Genomic DNA, 26,000 nt, shown 5'->3' on the forward strand with positions numbered 1-26,000 from the left:
TATATATCTTTACAATAATTTATTGCTTCAGCTAATATGTTTTATGTATAATACCTAAAAATCCTTTGTAAAATGAAGTGAAAATGAAAACAGGTTGTTTCTTCCCACTTCTTAACTTACGTCATCAACACAACTTCAGACCCAGTCATCTGAACCGTATTTAGCAATATTACCAAACAATAGCTCAATTAACCAACAATACTAGGAGAATCATAATAATTCAATCGGCGTGGTTATTTTTAATTATACAAGTTAAGAAACATTTCTAAATTTTTCATTTTTGAAACACATTGTTTAGTCTAAGACTGTGATAACACCTTTAGTAACTTGTGAAGTTAAAGCACATATACACACACATACATTCACAAAGTATATATTTATATCTGTTTACAGAAGCCTTTTAAATTAAGTGGAACACAAATCCGTGAAAGCAGCTACCTGGCACAGTACAATCAAAACAGCTGGCTGATTGATTAGGTTTTGCCATCTGTAATTAACTATTGTATATGTATAGCTTCAAAATTAAAATGCTCAAAGAATATAAAACAGATGCAAACTGCATGCTCTCATTTGGTAAACAACTTTAATTTCATGCCTTTTTGCTGCATTGTTTGGAAGTTCTTTAAAGAGCATGTATTATTCAAAAACTGCATTTCAGTCTGTTGCTTCATCTATGTGGAGAATGCATGTAACAAAATATACAAACGTATGCAAGGTATTACCGTGTTCTAATTTATAGAAAATTGCTCTCTGGCATAGTTTTTCTGCCCTCTGCATGTCCTTAGATGTAGAGTATAATACATACAATTAGTATCCATCCATGAAAAATAAAATTTAAAAAAAATAATAAATCAAATCTTAATGTTTACTTCAGACTTTTTGGTTTTATTTTATTTTTGATGGAAAAATACTAATTGTACATATTTGGAATACAATATGATGTTTTCATACATGTATATATTTTGTAATGATCAAATCATGGCAATTAGCATATTTGTCACTTCAAACATTTATCATTTCTTTCTGGTGATAACATTCAAAATCCTCTCCTACAGCTATTCTGAAATACACAATTCATGATTTTTACCTGTCACTCTTCTTTGCCATGGAACGCCAGATTTATTCCTCCTATTTAATTGTAACTTTGTACTCATTAGCTATCATCTCCTCTTTGCCCTTCCACCCAGCTTCCCAGCTTCTGGTAACCACCATTCTACTCTCTACTTCTGTGAGTTCAGTTTTGTTTAGATTTCACATATAAGTGAGATCATACAGTATTTGTCTTTCTGTGCCTAGTTTGTTTCATTTAACACAATGTCCTCCAGGTTTATTGTTGTTGTCACAAATGACAGAATTTCCTGTTTTTGTAAGACTATATAATATTTTATTGTGTCTATATACATTTAAAAAATATATTCATCCATGGATAGACACTTAGATTATTTCCATATATCAGCAATTGTGAATAATGCTGCAAGGAAGATGAAAGCACAGACATCTCTTGGCCATATTGATTTTAACTCCTTTGAATATATACCCAATAGTGACATTGCTGGAACATATGGTAATTCTATTTTTAGTTTTTTGAGGTGCCTCCCTACTGTTTTCCAAAATGGCTAAAGATATACATAATTAACACATAATTGTTACAGTATTATTCTGAATCTGACTGAGTACTTACTGTTACATTTTATACATTTTAATTTTTTAAAATCAATAGAATTCTTTTATTTCAGCTTGAAGAACTATCTTCATCATTTCTTGTAACACAGGTCTAATGATGATAAACTAAACTCTGTTAGATTTTGTTTTTCTATAAAAATCTTTACCTTTGCTTTATTTCTAAAAAAAAAAATTGTTGGATAAAGTATTCTTAGTTCAGAGGTTTCCTTCAGCATTTTGAATATATCATCCCACTCTCTCCTAGCCTATAGGATTTCTGCTGAGAATTCTGCTGATACTCATGTTGGGACCTTCTTGTATATGATATGTTTCTTATCTCTTGCTGCATTCAGAATTTTTCATTTGTCCTAGATTTTTAATAGTTTGATTATTATGTCTTGGTGTACTTCTCTTTTGGGTGGATTTTATTGGAGATCACTGTGCTTCCTATAACTTAATGTTGGCACCTACTCACAGATTAAAGAAGTATTTGGCCATTATTCCTTCACATGTGCTTTCTGGCCCTTTTCCTCTTTGTTCTCATTCTACAAATTCTATTATGCAAAAGTTTAGTCTCTTGATTGTGTCCCATAATTCCCATAGGCTGTCTTCATTCTTTTTCTTTATTTTGTCTTTTTTCTCCAGTGACTGGATGTTCTGTCCAGCTCACTGTTTCTTCTGACTGATCAACCCAGTCTTCTCTTGAAGTTTTCTGTTGAAATTTTTAGTTCAGTCATTGTTTTTTGTCTCTAGAATTCCTACTTTGCTCTTTTTATTGTTTCTATTTTTTGTTGGTTTTCTATCTTTTATTTTATTGTTTGCCAAATTTTATTAAATTTTATATCTGCATATTCTTGTCATTCACTGAACTACGTTATGAGTATTATTCTGATTCTTTTCAGTTATTTCACAAATCTTCATTTCTTTGGGGTTCATGATTGGAGTCTATTTATTTTTTATTGAAGTGTCATGATTCCCTGATTCTTTGTAATCCTTGTGTTTTTATGTTGTTGTCTGCACATTTTAGGAGATAGCTTTGTTTTTTGGCCTTTACAGGAGTTCTTTGGCAGGAACAAAGCATCACTATTTTGTTATTTTCATTTTTGAGACAGAGTCTTGCTATGACATTCAGGCTGAAGTACACTGTCAACCATATCTCATTGCAGCCTCAAACTTCTGGGACTCAAGCAATCTACTCTCCTAAGCCTCCTGAATAGGTGGGACTACAAGTGCACATCACCGTGTCTGGCTAATTTTTTTTATTTTTCTTTTTTGTAGAGACAGAGTCTTATCTTATTGCCCAGGCTTGTCTTAAACTCCTGGCTTCAAGCAATTCTCCCACCTCTGCCTCCAAAAGGGCAAGGATTATAGGCATGATCCACCACACCCAGTCCAGAGCTTCACATATTTAGTCTAGCCTGTGATTCTGGAAGGGCTAGATAGTGAAAACCCCAGGCAGGTAGAAATTGCTGTGAGTTCTCTAGTTGGCTGATCCACTGCCTTTGCTCTGATGTCAGAATGGGCTATTGATTGGTTTTACTGACCAACGAGACCACTGTCTGGGATTTTCTGTCAGATGAAACTACTGGCTAGATAATACAATGGCTTCTGGTCAATTCAGTCATAAGATGTATTCCTGGCTGGAAAATTCTGCTATTTGGAATCTACAGTTAGACAAGACTGCATGTTAGACTCTGAAGTTAGGCAGGGTCACCACCCTGGACAGGTAAGACCTGAGGCTGAAATACACTACTTACATAAAGCTGAAGATTTTTCTCCCTATCTGGGTAGAGCCATGAAGTGGGCTTCTAACTGAGTTTAGTGTCTTATTGACTTTCCGGATAAAGTAAGACTAGCCCTTGCTGTGTTTCTCCAAAATATAGAAAGGTGGAAATATTCCTTCCTGGTTGGAGTCATTGTGTGGGCTTTTTGGCTGTGTGGAGCTGCTACTTGTTTTCCCTGGTCAGGCCCAATCTACCTCTTCTCTTCTCACAAATAGGTGAAGCTGTGTTTCCCTGACTAGGCAGGGTTGTTGATGTGGGTTCTAAGGCTGAGCCCAGAGACTAGTAGTCTAGGGGCTCAAGTTAAATTGTACTTCCCACTGTGCTTCTGAAGGGAACCAGCTTATTAACTTTGTGGTTGTGCTATGAGGTTTGCTGATATCCCTGATCGAGCAGCACAGCTGTCAGGAAAACAGAGGTACCACCAAGATCTGTGCATCAGTAATTTTCTTTGTTTCTGCCTGACCCTAGGGCAGTCAAGCCATGCCATTTCTCCTAGTATTCCCCATGAGGTGAAACCAGAGTTGACTTCCTGAGTAGCATCTTAGAACGTTAGGGAAACTGAATGACTACCTCTTATTCTCTTTTTTCCTGGTAGAAACTGTGAGTGCAGGGAAACCATCTCCATCTGCTGTGCCAACTTGGGGAAGGGGAAGGGGGAAGCCCAGGTGGAGTGAGACCATTCTTCTTACCCTTCTGATTCAGATTTCATTCAATTCTACATCCCTTGCTGGTATCTCAGGCTGGTTTCCAGGTGTAGGGGTTTTCAAAGGATGTTCCAGTTTGTGGATATTTGCCAGTTAAACTTTCTGTGGGCCAAGTAGAGCCTGAGATTTCCTGTTTGGCTATCTTTCTGCCATCACTACTAAGATCTACTTTTTGATAGTTTGATAGAACACAGACTGCCGAACTGTGTTCATCTTCTAAATTTTCATTTTAAATTATTTTATTGATGTTAAACTAAGAAACAATACTGAATTATAATGCATGGCCACTCTTCAAAATGTAACAATGACTTTGTTAGTTTTTGCAATCGTTGAAGTGATAAAGGATTTTTTTAATAGAATGTTAGTTATGTAGAAGAGATAAAGGTTTTATTTATCCTGAAACATCTATCTTTGTATAAGTATTTCATAAGAAGCTCTGTGGGATCACAAGTAAAACTGAGAGGTGACAGCGTGCAGGCAGTCCTCACAGCCCTCCCTCGCTCTCGGCGCCTCCTCTGCCTGGGCTCCCACTTTGGCGGCACTTGAGGAGCCCTTCAGCCCACCGCTGCACTGTGGGAGCCCCTTTCTGTGCTGGCCAAGGCCAGAGCCGGCTCCCTCAGCTTGCAGGGAGGTGTGGAGGGAGAGGCGCCAGCGGGAACCGGGGCTGCACGTGGCGCTTGCGGGCCAGCTGGAGTTCCGGGTAGGCATGGGCGGCCCCGGGAAATGAGGGGCTTAGCACCCGGGCCAGCGGCTGCGGAGGGTGTACTGGGTCCCCCAGCAGTGCCAGTCCGCCGGCGCTGCACTGGTTTTCTCACCGGGCCTTAGCTGCCCTCCCGCGGGGCAGGGCTTGGGACCTGCAGCCCGCCATGCCTGAGCCTCCCACACCCTCCATGGGCTTCTGTGCAGCCGGAGCCTCCCCGACGAGCACCACCCCCTGCTCCACGGCGCCCAGTCCCATCGACGGCTGAGGAGTGCAGGCGCATGGCGCGGGACTGGCAGGCAGCTCCACCTGCAGCCCCAGTGGGGTATCGACTGGGTGAAGCCAGCTGGGCTCCTGAGTCTGGTGGAGACGTGGAGAACCTTTATGTCTAGCTCAGGGATTGTAAATACACCAATCAGCACCCTGTGTCTAGCTCAGGGTCTGTGAATGCACCAATCCACACTCTGTATCTAGCTACTCTGGTGGGGCCTTGGAGAACCTTCATGTCTAGCTCAGGGATTGTAAATACACCAATCAGCACTCTGTATCTAGCTCAAGGTTTGTAAACACACCAGTCAGCACCCTATGTCTAGCTCAGGGTTTGTGAATGCACCAATTGACACTCTGTGTCTGGCTACTCTGGTGGGGCCTTGGAGAACCTTTGTGTGGACACTCTGTATCAAGTTAATCTGATGGGGAAGTGGAGAGCCTTTGTGTCTAGCTCAGAGATTGTAAACGCACCAATCAGCGCCCTGTCAAAACAGACCACTCGGCTCTACCAATCAGCAGGATGTGAGTGGGGCCAGATAAGAGAATAAAAGCAGGCTGCCCAAGCCAGCAGTGGCAACCGGCTCGGGTCCCAGTCCACACTGTGGAAGGTTTGTTCTTTCACTCTTTGCAATAAATCTTGCTGCTGCTCACTCTTTGGGTCCACACTGTTTTTATGAGCTGTAACACTCACCGCGAAAGTCTGCAGCTTCACTCCTGAGCCAGCGAGACCACGAGCCCACCAGGAGGAACGAACAACTCCAGACCCGCTGCCTTAAGAGCTGTTAACAGTCACCGCGAAGGTCTGCAGCTTCACTCCTGAGCCAGCGAGACCACGAGCCCACCTGGAGGAACGAACAACTCCAGACCCGCTGCCTTAAGAGCTGTAGCAGTCACCACGAAAGTCTGCAGCTTCACTCCTGAGCCAGCGAGACCGCGAACCCACCAGAAGGAAGAAATTCCGAACATATCCGAACATCAGAAGGAACAAACTCCAGACGCGCCACCTTAAGAGCTGTAACACTCACCGCGAGGGTCCGCGGCTTCATTCTTGATGTCAGCAAGACCAAGAACCCACCAATTCTGGACACAAAACCTCAAGTAGTCCCTCCACCGAAAGCACATTATAAGGATCATTTTGCCTCAAAGCCCTCCTACAGGCAAGAGGAGCTTACTGTGACTTCCAAGAAGAAAATGATGTTGTGGCATGAAGCACTTCTCTGATCATATCACTGCTGTACTAAAGGTACGTTCTACATGTACTTTTTGGGAAGAAATTGATGGTTATTTCACTAGTGTTTATTTTTGATACAAAGGACCAAGTAAATCTGTGAAGATTAAGGTCTATTTTCTTATAAAGAAAAGAATATCAACTATTCAGACTGATGCAAAGTTACTTTCTTAGCATAAATTCTAGGTTTATAGTTAATACCTTGCCTGGAATACTTGGGCCAAAGTCCAGCCATCTTTGTCGGGCTTCTTATTCTGTAAAACTAGTTTTCTGCTCCATGTCATTCCACCATATTTTGCTGGTCATTGTGAGAATGAAATTAAAGTAAGCATGAAAAGCATTTTACACAGCACGTAATACTTACTAAATGTTCAATAAATAATTAGAATTTAAATTTTTGTGCAGCTCACTTTTATAAATAAAATCCTAACATTTTTTACTAGTAATTAAGCAAACGTCTTCACATATCAGGCCTCTGTTAATATCTCAGCTTTTACTCTCATGGCGTGAAGTAACTTAAGTACTTACATTGTTATACCATCATTTTGCTATTTTTGGAATCACCTTTCTGAACTGTATATTGATAATTGCAATAAAAAACTAGACAACACAGCACAAGGGATCTCAGACCATAAATTTAAAAGAAAAAATTGTATATAATTTAACCCAACAGCTGAACATAAATTATCCTAGAACAATAAGGGCAAAAAAAAAAATGGTTAAAGAATAGAAGTAAAATTGTGGGCTAATCTCCATAACTTTACTAGACAACAAACAGTGCTTTCATAATCTTAATCAAAGATTTTTCTTCTCAACTTATTTTGGATGCTGTTGCTTAAATATGTATGATTTACTTAGGCTAGAAGAAGGAAATATATCAATTTGGTGCCTACTAAAGCAATATTTACTTGAATTAGATTTAGCAAAGTATTTCAATGTTATAAGATGGGTAAAATGTTCAGACATAGATTCTTTCTGGGGGAAAATGTATTTATAATTATTGCTTTTAGAAATTATTAAAATATAGTTAGTTGTGAAGCAGTGTTAGTAAAGCTGGACTGTGCTTCAGATCTGATGCATATCTGAAAGACAACGTTTAAGAGCTTTATTTTCTACATTCTTCCAATTGAAATAAAGCATTTTTTCTAATGTATTAAAACACTATAAAAATAATGGTAATATTCTTTGAAAAAATTTAGCTCTGTATTTTAATACAACAGACTTGAATTATGAGAATTCATGGAGAAGGGATTTATTACGAGCTGAAATGACTATAAAATACTATCATTACTGGGTTAATTCTGACTAGAATTCTCTCTGAATGTTTATGGCAGTCCTATTTTTGATCAATGAGTTAGAGACTTGAACCAAATTATCTGTCTTCTGCTTCTCTTTCTTCTTCTCTCTTTGTCTTGGCTTTCTCTGTCTTGCAAATGGAAAACATCATTATGTGTACACACAATATAGTTTGAAGCTTCAAAGTTTTTATGTGATCAGAAAATCATGCCCATTTCTAGTCATATATGTGTGTAATCAATATTCATAAGAATGTCTACTGCCACACATTTTGTAGTGTGTTATATATAATATTGTCCTTATTGATATAACAGAAATGCCGATTATTCATTAAAGGAAATGTATGACACAGAGAAATTTTAGACTTACATCTCTTATGTTTTTTACAAGTGAAATGTTTTTCTGACCTTGTAATGAAAAATAATAGGTTACTGAAATATAAATGATATTCAAATTAATTTTATAAAATAAGCAATTATACAACTTCTAATATTATTCTATGATTATTTATCTTACAACACACAATTGTGCCCTAGGTATGGAATGTATTCGGTGTTGAGGAGTTTGGACAGTACAGCAGCAGCTGCTCTAGGTAAGATAATCAGGGCAGTCCATTCTGAGAAGATTGCATAATATACACACACAGAAATATATAAATAATTTAAAGGCACAGTCTTATTTTTGTATGACATGCTTGTTTGTCACAGTAGGAATAATTGTCTTCATCATTTCTTGGTCATTTTCTTGCTTAGTAATGTTGATCCTGAAGATCAAGTATATTTTCAAAAATGCTTAAGCATGGAGTAAGAGAACAATGTAAATTGTTCTCTCTCTCCCTGTCTTTCTCTCTTTTCTCTCTCTCTCTCCCTCTCTCTCACACACACACACTCTCACTCTATCTCCACACACACACACACACACACACACATCAACATTCTGAATGCCACATAAAAAATTTCTGAGACCTTTCATTTCTATGACTTGATTTATGGACAATAAACTTCAGTCATGTAATAAAATGTAACTTAGTTTATGCATGGAAAATATAACTTAGAAAATCACCATCTGTATACTAAAAATAAATTGATGGACACAGATAACAGGGGATACAGTACAATACAGTTACAGAAACACAGTAATCTTGTAAGTGGTAAGCAAATTGGACTTCGAGTATAGATAACACATATTTGTTATTGTTTTTCAAGTTATTTGTAATTTTATTTTCTCCAAATCTCTATTCTCTGATTAGTCTATTTCCAGATGGCATAATTATGTTTCCAAATTTCTAAGATTCTGCCCTTGTGGTTTAACTTGTTTTATTTATACCAGAGCAGCTGACTTCAACAGCTGTTTTTTTCCTGGAATAGATTTTAGTCAATAGTTTGCCATTTCCATCAATTCAGATCATCTGATTTACTATAGTAGAATATTTCTATGAGTATTTTAGGAGTTTTCCTTGTACTTGAAATGAAAATTTAACATTAGATTTTCAAGTTGTTTGTCCAGTATCTCCCTGAAACTTTTTAATGGACCAAAATAATACATACTCATTTGGCATTGATATTACCAATTGAATAATATGGATTACTAATTGCTCTTATGATAGGTAATCATCCATATCTTTGCCACTTTTTATTAAATTCAGATGTCTTATGTTTCTTACATGTCAATGATAAGTTGTGTTGGAATATTTTCCCATTTATGCTATTTACAGTTTTTAATTTAAAATTTAAATTAAATTGCTTTAAATATCAAAAGATTCAATACACTTAAAATTTATTTATAAATACACATTTAAAAAGGAAGTTAAGTTAAAATAATAAAATACAGATTCTCCTCAACTTATGATGGGGTTATGACCTGATAAACCCATTCTAAGTCAAAAATATAAGCTGAAAATGCATTTAACACCTTGATAAAACTATCATAAAGTCAGAAAAATTATAAAGTCAGAAACCTGCAAGCCAAACAATCACAAGTCAAGAATTCTCTGCAATACAAATTTCACATATTTTTTACATAATTTTTAAAATTGTTTTTTAAATATTTTGATAATGTTCAACCATAGAGTGAAGCAAGGTTAATTAATGAGTGCAGATACTGAATTCAGATGGAAGCTTAATGGTATTCAGAAGGAAATTTATGCTTTACTTGCTTTTATAAAACAAAATGAATAATTTCATATTTTACAAAAACAATGTTCAAGAAATGCATGATCCAACAAAAATAATGTGTAAAAAAATTCATGAAGAAAAATATAAAATTTATTGAAAGATCTTTGAAAGGCCTAAGTCAAGGAATAGGTTCACCATGTTTCTCTTTAGGACGATACACTGTGAAAAGGTGCATGCCAATTAAACCTACATCAACCTATAAAGGCAATAATGCATTCTCTTTTTTTCTTTTTTTTTGAGATGGAGTCTTGCTCTGTCTCCAGGCTGGAGTAGGGTGGCACGAGCTTGGCTCACTGCAACCTCCGCCTCCCAGATTCAAGGGATTCTCCTGCCTCAGCCTCCCGAGTAGCTGGGACTATAGGTGCGCACCGCCACACCCAGCTAATTTTCGTATTTTTAGTAGAGATGGGGTTTCACCATGTTGGCCAGGAGGGTCTTGATTTCCTGACCTCGTGATCCATCTGCCTCAGCCTTCCAAAGTGCTGGGATTACAGGTGTGAGCCACCGCTCCCGGCCGAGGCAATGCGTTTTCAATAAAAATGCCCCTGTTTTATTTTTAACCCATTTGGTATGAGTAAACAATTAATATTAGATTGTATATTAAAATGTAGAGCCAAGAACAAAGGTGTCAATTTTGAAGCAGAAAGAAATGAAAATTCCACATAATAAATGTCGTGGCTTACTATAAAATTATATATTGTAACACTGGTGAAAACTGTCCAATAACACAAATGCAGAGACTGAGGCCTGTATTTTCTTGTTGGCTTTAGTTATCAGTCTAGAGACACTCTTAGCTTCTAGAGGACTTTCTCTAGCCCTTGAGCATAGCCCCCACATCTCAGAACCAGAAACTGGCATCATGTGGTTCTCATATCACACCTCTTGGGGCTGCTTCCACAGTCACATATCTCTCTGACCACAGCCAGGAAAGTTATTCCACTTTAAAGGACCCATGTGATTAGACTGGGCTCACACAGATACTCCAAAATAATCTCCCACTCTCAAGGTTCATAACCTTAATCACATTTGCCAAGCCTTCTCTCCTCTTTTTGGCGTAAGATAACATATTCGCAGGTTTTGAGGATTAAGACCTGGATTTCCTTAGGGCTCATATTTTTCATTCAATCTCATAAACTAACGATGAGATAGGCAAGTTGATAGACTGGATATGTGCAGATCAGATATAGTATATATAAGAGCAATTTTAGCTTACTGTCTGATACTTTTCAAGACTAGAAAGATATTTATTGAAAAATATTCTGTTGTGCTCATATATGTTGTCTTGATATTGAGTCCAGTTATTTTTAGTACTTGCTGCAGGGATAAAACAGTAGATACATTGACCTTGACTAGTTTCCATCTATCTAGAGTGTCGAATCTGTTATATCTGAAGCAGAAACATGTTTTCATTGACATTTTTACACATAATTTGCATCTAGAAAAAATGTAGGGACAGAGCTGCTCTGTCGTCAGATCTGCTAAAGGAAAACGTCACCCTCCCCAGTCAAAACCAACTATTCATGCATCAACTGCTTTATTTGACACAAGGAAGAAATTTTAGTGAGAGCAGGAAACATTCCTCTGCTTAAACTGAAAGACAGGGACAATATTATCTGTAGCTATCATTCATTGATTTCTAGATATTCACTGTCAGAATCACAAGTTATCTGTATTACTTGTGTATCTATTTATCAAGCATAAAACATCACAATAATATTAATCTACAATGCCTAATTTTTAAACTCATATGTGTTTTCCATTGCTCCATTGTCTAAGATAGTGGTTCTTAAATTTGAGTGTGCTTCAGAAGCACCTGAAGGACATGTCAAAACACAAATTGTTGGGAGACACCTCCAGAGTTTCTAATTTATGTGTACAATATACAGCCATACACATATGTGCATATGTACACACAGGCATGATACCTGCTTACAAATAAAAGAGTAGAAACATAACAGTAAAAACATATAAAACAGAGCATTATTATCTTTCTCCTTCACTAAGAGATCATCAAATTAGCTGAAGATGTTTCTTTCCTTGTAATTTCTTGAAGGTAAAGATCTTTTATAGTGCTTCTTAGGTTAAAAAATATAATAAAGTCAGAAATAGGTCTCTAATCTAGCCAATGAACAATCACTTGATATCCCTGGTCTCAGATATAAGGAGCAAACCTAGCTCAATAATCTCAACTGAAATAGTTATAAGGGTAAAGCCTGGGATCTCTGCAGAACCCAGAAGGGTAAAAGAATGGAGGGGAGGTCCAAGAATAAGAGGATTTAAGGAATCCACTAAAATGAGGCTGTGTGTAGACTTAAAGGTGACAGGAGGGCAAAGGAAAGAAATGCTTTGCCCACACTCTGGGCTCTAGATTATCAGGATCAGCCATGAATAATCATAAGTCTTCCCGCCAATGGCTTGTCTGTGCCTGTGTGCCCAGCCAGATGCCATGGCTATGCTTTTGTGCACTGTCACCCAGAGTTGTTGAACTGTGATGCAGTAATCAACACCCTCACTTGTAAGCTTGCCATCAAATTGAGCAAAGCACACTACACCATTACATCCAAATTGTTAGTGGAGGGGTGCCAGGGAGTGAAAGCAGATTCAGCAAACACAGTTATGGTGCCAAGAGTAGGCACTCAGTGAGAAAATGATGCCATGTAGACCACTGGGTAATGTGAGATTCAAGACTAAGTGGGCCAATGAGAAAGCAAGGAGCATACTCTAGAGTGTCTGTTCTTCTGGAAGTTTCCACTGAATTTTTCTTCAGAAGTTGTTAAGGCAAGAGAGGTAGCTAAAGGGCAGCTGGATAGAGTGTGATTGGTTGCAGTTATCATCCTCCTAAGTATATGTTCAACTTAAGAAAAATAGTAGTTTTAAAGAAAGCTTCCTTGCCCTTTTTACCAATTGCCACTGCCTTACCCTTTCATACAGGTGCCACTGAGAAAAAGGGAGAAAAAGTAGCTATTCCGTGTGCCTGTACTCTTCAATATTATTGTGCAGCAAAGGGTTAACTCAGCAGGTCTAGCTTGCCCAAACTGCAGATTCCAAAGGTCTTCAGGACCAGCCCTTGATCGGCTCCTGGGAGATAACCTCTGAACTCTTAAGAGTCTTTTGGAATACAAAGAGTGCTTTTGTAGATTTGAGACCTTGGAAATGCCAGACAGTTTATGCTAACAATGTGATTAATGGTAGATGCTTGTTTTCTATTCCTGGAGCTTTGGGTCACACTGTACCAGTTTGAATTCTGGGGGTTCTGGGTCTGAGTAGCTCAGGTGAATCAAATGAGAGCCACATGCCTATATGATTTACCTTTAAGTCATATAGGTAAAAATACTATAAGTCATATAAATCAAAAACCCTGGGAACCGTGGTTCACGTGAACTTCTCTGATTGGCACCACTTTACATGTGCTGTCACACATCGTTGCTTGGAGAATTAAGCACTATTTCAGTGCTTCCAGTGAGAGAGGACAACTAGAAGCTTGTTCCTGGTCTCTCTTGGACCATCTGCTGTTAAGTGTCTTTTATCTTGCTAATTTTAAGCTGTATCCTTTACCTGTAATAAACTACTACCATGAATGTGACAGCTTTGCTGATTTCAGTGAGTCGCTCTGGTGAATCTTTGAATCTGACAATGGTCCTGGGCATCCCTGACACAATTACTCAAAAAGCTAACTGTTCCTCCATAGTGACAAAAATATGTATCATGAGTGTTTTTGGCAAAACCAATGAGATAACTCAGTGTATTAGGAATACGACAATATACTACACATGCACACACACACACACACACACAGACAAAACCAGGACTCTGTGCTGGAGGGCTTGAGGTAAACAAGAGATAAAATTCATAAAAGCCAATGTAAACTGGATACAAATTATTTTATTTACACAATTGTTTCTATATTTTTGGTATTTATAATTTATGGGCTTGTTTTTATATTTGGTTATAGGTGACTCCCACTCGAAATATTTTGTTATATGAAGAAAAGGCTAAGCATGAGGAGGTAGAGCCTATCTTTTAAAGAGTAGTAATAGATAACCTGTATGGCATAGATATTGGATTAGCAGGAGACAGGGCAAAAGGTCTCTCTTTTTTCACAAATAAAATAATAGAGGAAGATGAGGTGAATTGAGGAAGATAGTAGCAAAAGAGGTAATCATCTTCATACTTCTTTGAAACTAGTGATGTTGTTCTTAAAACCTCAGCTTACCCGAATGTCACCTCTAAAATAATTAGAATGTCACCCCATTTTACGAATAATTTACTACCATTAGCCAAGAACTGTCATAATAAATACTCAAGTCTATGAGACTGTGATGGGAATGGCATCCCCAAGGTGCAGTCAGTGGCTCCAGCTGCTTGGCTCCTCAAACAAAGCTTTGGTTGATTTTTTAATGTCCAAATCCACCCAACAAATAGTTATCAGAGTTCAATTCAAGTTCAGGAAACATTGCATTTGAGTCTTGGTTTTACTACCAGTTTTATTTCTTCTCAGAGGTATTGGGTGTGAATGATTAGCATAGGTTATTTTACAAACTCTCTGGACATGACTGGCATCCAAGCTCAAAATTCTCATAAACTTCCAATTAATTGTACAGTCTAACTTTGTGATATTTATTAGGGTCAGTAATTGTCTGATCTTTGCTTAGCAATTATGGATAATTGCAATGGCATGCATGAATTAATAGAAACATATGGCACTTAAACATATTTCTTTATTAATTTTTACTGAGCTGATTTTTGTGCTAATTAATATGAGTGTACTCTAGAGGGCAATAAACAATAACCTCACAGGTACACATCTTGGCTTACAAATACCTGGTTCAAGGAAGGTTTATTTCCTGGATGGAATGCAGTAAATTTTTAAAAAATATTATGTATGCTTGGTTCTGTGCAATTTTAGATTTTATGATAAATTTTAATTTTAACTTTTGTATTATTTTAATTTTTGCATTATGGGAGTAAATGATTTAATTTCACTTTTAAGATTAAATTATTTATGCATCTATTCATTTTCTCTTATGCCTATCCCCTAGTTATGTTCCCTGCTATCCTGAGTGCTTAGAATATATATATTTTTTTGTTTTACGTTCAGGGTTATATGTGCAGGTTTGTTGTATAGGTAAACTTTGTGTCATGGGGGCTTTTTGTACAGATTATTTTGTCACCCAGGTTTTAAGCCTTGTACCCAATAGAATGTATCTTTAAATTGTATTTATTCCTTTAAAATATGTAGATTGTGTGTGTATTTGACTAACATAAATGGCATTTTGCTATAGATATTTCCTGTCATAATTTTTTACTCAACATTGTTTAAAGACCTATTCACACTGCTTACCATACAAGTAGCTTTTTTGGCTTTTGACTCCTGAGAGTATTTCACTGTTTGTATTTCATCCATCCCTCAATAATGTGTGCCCCTACACTACCTTCTACTCCTTACCACCAAGTACCATTGCAATTCAAATCTCACTCTTGGCTTGTTTGGAAAATTTATAAGAATCTTTCTAGGATTTTTGAGCCATGAATGATAATACTTAAACTATCTAATACTGCCAGTAGGGTTGCACCTGTATAAATTCCTGCAGGAAGGGCAAGATGGTTTTCTTTTTTCAGAAAACTTGTCAGTTTCAACTTTACTAACTTTTTGCCACATTGATATATGTAGAGTAGTACCTTACTAATGTTTCACTTATTCTACACACTAAAGAAGTTGACTGTCTCTTTAATTGTTAATGATTTACTTTTGCTTTTCTACAAATTGACTTTGCCCATTTTTCTATTGTTTCTTTTGCCTTTTTGTCAATTTTAATTAGGTCTTCTTTTGTATCATAGATACTCTTTCACCATTGATTTTATGTTTTGCAAATATATTGTAATATGTACATCTCTGTTAAATTTGCACAAGTTGGTTTTTATTGAACAGAAGCTCTAGACTTAGACAGTGAAACCTTAGTATGATTAACTCAAATTTATTATTTATTCCCGTATGATTTGTGATTTATTCTGGCATGTTTAGTATAGTGCTTACTCATTCCTAAGACATAAGGATGATGATCTTGACATTTTGAGAAGTACTACTGTAGGATGCACTTTATAGGAATTTGTTTGATGTTTTTCTCAGGAGTATATTGGCATATGGGACTGATAAAGTTGGATTCCATTCAAATTAAAAACATTTGCTCTGTGAAAGACACTGTCTAGAGAATAAGAAGACAAGCCACAAATGGAGAAAGAATATTTGGAAAGAAATATTTAATAAAATACTGTTGTATTTAATATTCAAACAACTCTTAAAACTGAACAATAAGAAAATGAACAAACAAGCTGTGGCTGTAGTCCCAGCTACTCAGCAAGCTGAGGTAGGAGGATTGCTTAAGCCCAGGAATTCAAGTCCAGCCTGGGTGACTGACTCTACCTCCAAAAATTAAATAAATAAATAAAATAAGGTAAATAAAACAAGAAAATAAAAACTTACTTAAAAATGGGCAAAATATCTGAACAGACACTTCACCAAAGAAGATATGCATATAGTAAATAAGCATATACAAAGATGATCAACATCATATGTCATTTAGGAACTGCAAATTGAAACAATAAGATACCACTAGCTATTTAATAGAATAACTAAAGTCTCAGACACTGGCAACAACAAATTCTGATGAGGATTCTGAAGCAGTAAGATTTTGGTAAAAATGCAAAATGGCACTGACACTTTGGAAAACACTCTAGCAGTTTCTTACAAAACCAAACATTCTCTAACTATATGACCCACAAATTAATCTTCTTGCCATTTACCTAAGTTCATTGAAAACTTATGTCCACACACACGAAAAAAATGCACATGGATGTTTACAACAGTTTTCTTCACAATTGACAAAACCATGATGCCCTTCACTACTTGAATTGATAAGTAAACTGTGGTACATTCTGAAAATGGAATATTATTCACTACTAAAAAGAACTGGGCTACCAAGCAATGAAAACATATGGAGAAAACTTAAATGCATACTACTAGGTGAAATAAGCTAATCTAAAATAAAATACATACTATATGATTCCAAGTATATGACATCATAGATAAGTCAAAAAGATGAAAAAAAGAAAATGATTAGTGATTGCTGGGGTAATGGGGGAGAGGATGATGAATAGGTGAAGCACAGGGTATTTTTAGCACAAGGAAACGTTTCCATGTGATACCATCATAGTAGACATATAATATGTATATGAATAATCATTATACATGTCATTACACATTTGCCCAAACCCACAAAATGTACAGCACCAAGAATAAAGAGTCAACCCTGTAGTAACTACGGACTTTGGTTGATAATGATGGGTTAATGTTTGTCCATTGATTGTAACAAATGTACTATTATAGAGGGGAACATCAATGGTGGAGGCTGTGCGTGTGTAGGGGGAGGAGGTATGTGAGAAACTTCATATGTTTTACTCTATTTTTCTGTGAAGCTTTATTCTTATTTACCATAAAAAGAAAGTCTTAGTAAAAGATAAGGAACACAATTATGTAAATTAAAGATGTACACTATTAAACCTAATGCAACCACTGAAATCATGTCATAGCATTATAAATCATAAGCAACTTAAGAGAAAATGAAATCATAAAACTATGTAAGTACTCTAAAATAAAAAAGAAAGGAAAAAGAGATAAATAGGATATATAAAAAAGCAAACAGGAATATAATAGAGCTAAACTTTATTATAGCAATTATCACATAAAATGTAAATAGTTTACACACTCAAAAGAGATTTTGAAAAGATCCGACTATATGCTGTCTTTTGAATAAAGAAACAAATCAGTTAAAAGTGAATAAATGAAAAATATATCATGCTAACCAAAAAAAGCTGATGAGTACATTACAGTAAGACAAAGTAGATTTTAAAACAAAAAACTCCAATATTATCAAAATGATAAAAGGGTTACTTTAAGGAGATCGAGACCATCCTGGCTAACAAGGTGAAACCCCGTCTCTACTAAAAATACAAAAAATTAGCCGGGCGCGGTGGCGGGCGCCTGTAGTCCCAGCTACTCGGGAGGCTGAGGCAGGAGAATGGCGTGAACCCGGGAAGCGGAGCTTGCAGTGAGCCGAGATTGCGCCACTGCAGTCCGCAGTCCGGCCTGGGCGACAGAGCGAGACTCCGTCTCAAAAAAAAAAAAAAAAAAAAGGGTTACTTTATCATAAGAGCAACACATGGTTACAATCATGCTTACATGTAAACAAATATATTTGCACATTTAAAATAAATGAACCAGCCACTAATAAAACTGCAATGAGATATAGATAATGCCATAATTTCAGTTTGAGATTTCAAAGGAGCTCACAATAATTGATTGAACAAGTATATAAAGACCAGTAAGAATACACCGACCAACTTGACGACAGTAGTATCTATAGAAGCCTGCATCCAACAAAAATAGAAAACACATACTATTTAGGTATACATGGAGTACTTTTGGGCATAGAAGTTAATCTGAGCCATAAAACAAATATCAATGAATTTAAAAATATCTTTTCTACTAATAATGGCATCAATAACAACCTACCAAATCACAAAATATCTAGCAGCTAAATAACACACTTCTAAATAACCCATTATCCAAAGAAGAAATAAAAAGGGAAAATATGAATATAAGTTAAGCAGTTTTAACTGGAATATTTTGAAGTGAAAACACTTCAAAATATGTAGGATACTGCAGAAGCAGTAAGGATATTAGGGAGTAATTAACTTAATAGTGGTGAATTTCTACGTTAGAAAAGCAGAAGTGTCTTGTTAAGGTCTTCACTTCAGCAACCACCAGAAAAAAAGAAAACCTTAAAGAAAGAAGGAAAAACAAAATTCAATGTAAGGAGAAGAAAAAAAATAAGAATTAGAGTGGAAATCAGTAAACTGGAAAACAATAGAAAAATCAATGAAGCCAAGAGCTAGTTCCTTGAGAAGATCAATAAAATTGATAAACCTCTATCCAGATACATCAGAAAGGAAAAAGGGAGAACAAAAGATATAAGCATCAGGAAAAAGAGATGATATTAAGGAAATTGAGTTGCTAGTTAAAACAGTTACCCCAAGGAATTTTCCCAGTTCTGATGGCTTTATTGCTAGAATCAACCAAATATTTAAGGAAGAAACAACACCAATTCTACACAAACTCATTAGAAAACAAAACAAAACAAAAACAGAGTGAATATTTTGTAACCTATCCTGTTAGGTTAGCATTACTGCACTATCAACGCAAGACAAAGACACTGCAAAAAAAAAAAAAACAAATACAGACAAGTATTCCTCATAAATCTAGATGACATTTATTTTAAATAGAAATTGAATATATCTTTCCAATCGATCTATCTATATTAATAATTCATGTACTAAATGCAGCTTATCCTACAAATACAAGTTTGGTTAAACATTTGAAATGCAGTCAGTGTAATTCGCCATATCAACAAACTAAAACATGAGAAATAAAAGACATCTAGAATGAAAAGCAAGGAAGTAAAACTGTCATTGTGTGCAGATGGCATGATAATTCATAAAGAAATTCTAATGAAATACATAAAAAGAGCTACTAGAACTAATAAATGAGTTCAGCAAGGTTGCGGAATAAAAGAGCAATAGACAAAATCAATTGCATTTTGAACACTAGCAATGAGCAATTAAAAATTGAGATGAAAATGTTTACCACGGGATCAAAATATGAAATACTTAAGGATAAATCTGACAAACCCGTGAAAGACCTGTACTTTGATGAGAGAAATTAAAGGAGCTCCATCTAAATGAAAAGCATCCAATGAGCATTAATCGGAGAAGTAATACTGTTAAAATGGCAATAAACCTCAAATTTATCTACAGGTTGATACAATTCCTATCAAAATCCCACTTAGCATGTTTTCAGAAACCTGTAATATGATCATAAAATTCATATGGAAATGCAAAAGACCTAGGACATTCAAAACAATCTTGAAAATGATTGTAGTTGAAGAACTAACAATACTTGATTTCAAGTTTTGGCATAAAAATACATAAATAGGTCCATGGAACAAAATAGACTTTAGATTAGAAACTAGAGTTGACCTATATAAACAATAGATTTTTGACAAAGGGCCCAAAACAATTCAAGGGAGAAAGTATAGTTTTTTCATAAATTATGTTGGAACAATTGTATATCCATATGTTGTTTTCCATTTTTGTTTTTTTAAGAATATTTTTTATACTTCATACCATATTAGAATATTAACCCAACATTGATAATAGGCACAAATGTGAAACATAAAACTATAAAACTCCTAGAAGAAAACATCAGATAAAACCTTTGTCATTTCAAATGAAACAATTTCTTAGATACAACACCAAAACCAAAATCTATCAAAGAAAAAAAATGATAAACTTCTTTCATCAAAATGAAAGCTTCTAGTCTTTGACATATATTGCTAAGACCAAATGCAAAATATGTACTGTATGAAATAAACATTTACAAATCATATACATGATAAAATACTAGAATCCAAAATATAAAATAACTTCCAAGGCCCATAATTTAGAAACCAGCAATCCAATTTACAAAACGAGCAGGTGATTAGGACAGATAATTCATCAAGAATGACATAGCCAATAAGCATGTGAAATATGCACATGAAAAGATGCTCAGTATGATTAGTCATTCATAAAATGCAAGTTGAAAGCACAGCTCAATGCTACTGCATACATATTAGAATGGCTAAAAGCAAAAAGACGATACCAAATTTTGGTAAGCATGTGGAAGAATAGGAATTCTCATACACTAATGGTGGGAATGTAAAATGATATAACCATTTTGGACCACAGGTTGGCAGTTTCCTAAAAATTTAAACATACATGGACTATACTGAGTGGATACACTATTATGTATTTAAGAGAAATGAAATTTATGTCTCTACAATGACTTGTACATGAATGTTCATAATAGCTTTGTTATTACCCAAAACTAGAAATAACTCAAATGTCCATTAATTAGTAAATAGATGAGCACACTGTGGTATGTCCATACAATGGAAGGCACTCTCCACCAGCCCCAGCCCCAGTAAGGAACTCTCAATCTCCTCACTGTCTCTCAGCTTGCTCATTACTTCCTATGAAAGCTGTTTTTTTCTTCTAAATAGGATAGATTCCCTCTTATCAACTATATTTCTACTGCATGAGGAATATCCACTATGATCCTTACATTAAATTACAAATATGTGTATAGCCCTCCCTCTAAATAGGAACAGAAAATGTTATTTATATTTACATTCCAAAATTTAGAAGTATTGATATTATAAAGAATTATTTGGAAATGAATATATCACTATGGTTAAGCTGGTCATTATATTCTTACAGAGCTATCCTAAAATTAGAACAAGCTGAATAAGCTGGAAATCAGATTTTTAGAACTTATCATAGATCTGAGTATACAAAAGAGGTTTAAATGATCTAAATTCAATAAAGAAAATGACAGGCATTCCTAGGAAGAAAAGACTTGTGGCTACTTAAAACCTTGTCTAAATGTCTTGGTTCTGCACTAATTCTAATGTGATTCGTGTACCTAGATAGGAAGAGTACTTTTCATGATATCTATTTCCAAATCCTTTACTGAATACACCCGTTTTAACTACTCTTACTACTTTTATAATATCCGTAAGATAAAAAGAAGATAAGCATAAACTCAATCACAAAATAAAAGCCTCTGAATACAACCACTCTAAATTCTAAATTTGTGTAGTAAGATTTAGAGTTGACCTTGCCAATGAGATGAAATTTAAACTTTGTTTTCAATGAAAGCATCAGATAGGTAACATTACTCTTAAGAAGGCTTGCAATTCTCTTTTGAAATGCAAATCTAAAACTTAGGTATTTCATAGAGCTATAATATGGGATGTATATAACAAGAAGATACATGTTTCATATATCCTGCAATAAAATGGGAATCAGTGAATGAGCCACCTTAATCTCTTGCCTATTTTAAAAGCTGAACGCACACTTTCTAGTAAAGAAAATCGATAGAAAGGGAGACAAAATTTTAAGAAAGAGAACTACAAGTCTGAATTAGAAACATATGTGATGAATACCTCAACTCTGCTATGCTATTAGGCAGTTTTAAATACTTAAAATTTTAGCAGGAGGCTGAAAGGATTATACTATGTTTGCAGATACAATATTACATCCATTATGTTAAGAAAACAGACTAATCAAGAAATCACTCTTTAATGTACTATGACTCATCAATTCTTGAATGTATTTTTACAATTATTAGACGTATATGAGGTTTCCTTCAAGGATGTCACCTGGAAATAAAAGAGATGTGGAACTTCGAAAAGAATTACTTGACAGATACCTTGTATATATACATTTAGATAATCATTTTGGGAGACCTAAAGATAAATGCTAGGAAACTAGCTTTCAACTTATGTACATCATTTGATCGCATTGCACCAGATTACTCTTAGGAGAGGGTCTGATCAACCTGATAAACACACTCTGACTGGGAAACTGTAAGATAGGAACAAACTCAGCATACCAGATGATGGGTTCAATGTTTGTCTGAAAGAACCAATTTACTCTGTCAAATCTTTCTATATGCAATGAGAATAATAGAAGCACCTTTTTAAATAGTTATATGAGGCTTACATTACATATTATTTGTAAAACAGCATAGTGATAGTATACATTAGATACTCTTTTTATATATAAATAAAATTAATAAACCAATGATGGTGAATCCAGAATTGAAGTTACAACTTAAAATATATACTAAAACAATATTAAAAATGATAACTGAAAGTAGTAAAAGACTGATAGTCTTGTTTCTGATAATCTAATGATTAATAATTACAATTTGAAAATTAAGAAAATAGATTTTTAATAAGTACCAAAATCTATTTCCTCTGAGATTAATTATTTCTGAGAAGCTATTGATGAGAGTCCCTTGGGCAAGTCATATATTTTCTGGCTTCACAATTAAATGATGACCTTAAAATGAAGAAAATCTTAAGTCTTTTCCAAATCTTGACTGCTATGATTTTGATTTTAACATGTAATAAATATTTGATTTATGAGCTTAGTTTTAAGGGATTAGAATATATTTCCTGAAAAAAACTTTGTAATTTCTAATATTCATGTATCAATAATATTTTGATAAAAATGATTTTCCAATACAGCTAGTGGTCATTAATAAAACAGAAAAATCATTTTGAGAAAGTTTGGTAATTATAATAATTAAACAATAAGAATTGCTAACATTTACTCATCACGCTTTGTTTACCAGGCACAGTGCTATGGGTTTTATTTAAATGGCTTTATTTAATATCCTCCTAAATCACATCGGGTAAGTAGTTTTCCTCATTTGACCAGAGGTTGAGAGAATTAGGTAATACAGCACCAAGGCTGGAAATGCAGTCAACCAAGTTTAGATATTAAAAAGAAGAAATACAAAGATGAAGAATTGATGTTTATGGAGAAAGATTACTACCTTGAAAAGGAAAGTAAACTTGAGGCCAGTGAGTGTTTCTAGTATATGGAGTTTGACTTGTCTAGTATAGTGGTGGTTGAAGTCAGAGGTTTGGGTTGTCTAATGAGGGTCCTTGTCTTCCTTCAATTGTATTAAACAGAGCATAAGCAGATGGTGAATGTTCAACTTGATTACATTGACCAAACGGAATTGGATAACAAACTCGAAATAGTTTGAGAAAAAAGGTAATATAGATTTGAGGACATAGACCAACAAGTTACCAGAGATCACCAAGGCAGCTATAACTAAACAAAAGAGGGAAAAGATCTATAAGAACAGCAGTGATTATTGGAGGATTAGATAATTAAAGAATCTGTCAGCTACAATTTAATTGAATTAAAGATGTATAAAAATGATAAAACATAAGTGTGTGTGTGTATATATATATATATATCTCATGATAGTTTGCCATAATTTAAAGAAATGGGTTTGTATTCCCAGCTAAATTTTTAAGAGAAGCATAATTCCCTTTTAAACACCTGAAAAAGAGTATCTATATAGTCATATGTATTATTTGAATTTTTACAAAACTGAGGAATATAAAACTGGAGGTATTCTACTTTAATTACCATAAAAATTATTTAAAACTATGAAAAAATAATCAGATTATAGATAACAATTTGAAAAGACCTTAAGGTAAAGTCTTAAATAATAAAATCATGACAAATTTAAAATCTTACAAAAATGCCAGAAATTATTACAAAGAACTTCTCATTTTTACAAGTATTACTAGAAGTGACAAATGAGAATGATCACTATAAAATTTTCTGTTTGTCATTTTGTTTTGAAATTTCTGGCTAAAGCCAAACCATGTGAAAATTAGAAAGAGGTAAAAAGAATTATTGGAAAGGTTTAGATAAATTTATCATATCTTGTGACTTATATATGGTTACATAAGACAATGACATAACAAGAAAATCTAAGAAAACAAATTAAATATACCTGTTAGATAAATTTTCTTTTAATTAAAAGTAGAGGATGATGATACTATTGTTTTTAAGGCATCTGGTAGCATTTACCACTCCAAATTCATAAATTTTAATACCATGTAGATATCATGAATTTGTCTTCCAGTATTTAAAATAAGGTTGTTTTTGATATTTTTAAAAGGATAACTCTTTTTGTGTAGAACATCATGAACACTTCAGGTTGTTTACCAGTTCTGCTGTGCTCAAAATTAAGTGCACGTGCCAACCTCAATCACTGAGACTTTCAAGAAAGCTGCTGCCTATTGCCAAACTTTCTGTGCAGAGTGGAGAGCGGGAGGGCAGGAAAAGAGATCTACCATGCTCTGTTGATAAACAGTGATCCAGAAGGAGCATACGTCTTTATGATACAATTTTTTAAATATATAATATGCATCTTGTATCCACAAAAAGTTTTAAGTGGCTCCAATAAATGCTTTCTAAAGTACATGCACTCTTTTTTTTTTTTGAGAAGGAGTCTTGCTCTGTCGCCCAGGCTGGAGTGGAGTGCAGTGGTGCCATCTTGGCTCGCTGCAACCTCCGCCTCCCGGGTTCAAGCAACTCTCAGCCTCAGCCTCCTGAGTAGCTGGGATTGCAGGCGCCCACCACCACGCCCGGCTAATTTTTTGTTTTTAGTAGAGACGGGGTTTCACCATCTTGGCCAGGCTGGTCTTGGGCCGGGCTCACGCCTGTAATACCAGCACTTTGGGAGGCCGTGGCAAGTGGATCACGAGGTCAGGAGTTTAAAGTACATGCATTCTAAAGCTATTTTCTGTCTTAGAAAGGGGAGCCATTATGTAAAAGTGCCTCAATATAAGCAGGGCTAATATTAGAGAACTAAGAAGAAAGTTTCTGTCCTAATCTCCATTCATTTATAAATCGATTTTAATATTACAACTATGTATTAATAGAAGTAGGTTCTAAATCACTTATCATTTGTAATCAGAAAAAGGTAAGTAGCCTAAAATATGAAAATAGTTTAATAAAATACATTAAAATGATTAAATAAAATTCAGTCAGGAATATAAATTGGGTAGTTACTTTGTAATAGGGAATGTGAAAAACTGCTGAAAATGACAACTACATTGTGCTAATATATAATACATATCATCAAAAATAATTACATATATAAGATATATAGTATATATAATATATTGCTTATCTAATTTCATCTCTGTGACTTCCCTAAATTTAGACATTTTCTCTGTTTACAAATGAGAAATTTGAAGCCCTAAGAAACAAATAGCTTTTCCAAAATCACATTAGTATTCTGCAGAAATGATGTTTTTATATATAGGTCTAATTCCAATACTGGAAAATTAATTATTTTAATTAGCCATGTAGATCAGTTCAATCAATAAAATTAATCAGTTATTTTAGTTAAGTATCCAAAATAGTTTAAATATTTAGAACATAATATTAAAAAGTATGTAGAATAATATGAAAAAATGTTCACTCTACATTTTTCTAAGAGTAAAGGGTGACTCTACGTTATTACAATATTGCTTCTGTATTTGTCATATTTCTTAAAATCAATTGTGCTCAATGATACTTACAAACTTTCTGAAAAATGGAATCTAGTAACCAAATTTTATTTGTTAATTTAATGGTCATGAAAGAAGAATGAATAGATTTTTTCAGAAAAAGTACAATCAGTGTTATAGGTAATTTATTAAG

General features: G+C 34.8%; 1 long non-coding RNA gene across 1 annotated transcript in view, besides 1 other annotated feature; it reads left to right on the plus strand.

Moving 5' to 3' along the window:
* The first annotated feature begins 3,258 nt into the window (after nt 1-3,258).
* Nucleotides 3,259-26,000, plus strand: part of LINC01049 (long intergenic non-protein coding RNA 1049) — a 42,055-nt gene continuing 19,313 nt past the window's right edge. Inside the window, exons 1-3 of the long non-coding RNA NR_120414.1 lie at nt 3,259-3,388; nt 8,181-8,236; nt 23,459-23,543. This is a non-coding gene — a long non-coding RNA (long intergenic non-protein coding RNA 1049). The remainder of the gene's footprint in view (nt 3,389-8,180; nt 8,237-23,458; nt 23,544-26,000) is intronic.
* Nucleotides 4,972-5,471: an enhancer, noted in NCBI's record as "H3K4me1 hESC enhancer chr13:91147255-91147754 (GRCh37/hg19 assembly coordinates)". NCBI's record gives its function as "activates a minimal SCP1, AML or CMV promoter by ChIP-STARR-seq in naive H9 embryonic stem cells {active_cell/tissue: H9 hESC(naive)}" and the evidence as "EXISTENCE:reporter gene assay evidence [ECO:0000049][PMID:30033119]".

This window comes from Homo sapiens, chromosome 13 (genome assembly GCF_000001405.40).
Source record: "Homo sapiens chromosome 13, GRCh38.p14 Primary Assembly".
Classification (NCBI taxonomy): Eukaryota; Metazoa; Chordata; class Mammalia; order Primates; family Hominidae; genus Homo; species Homo sapiens.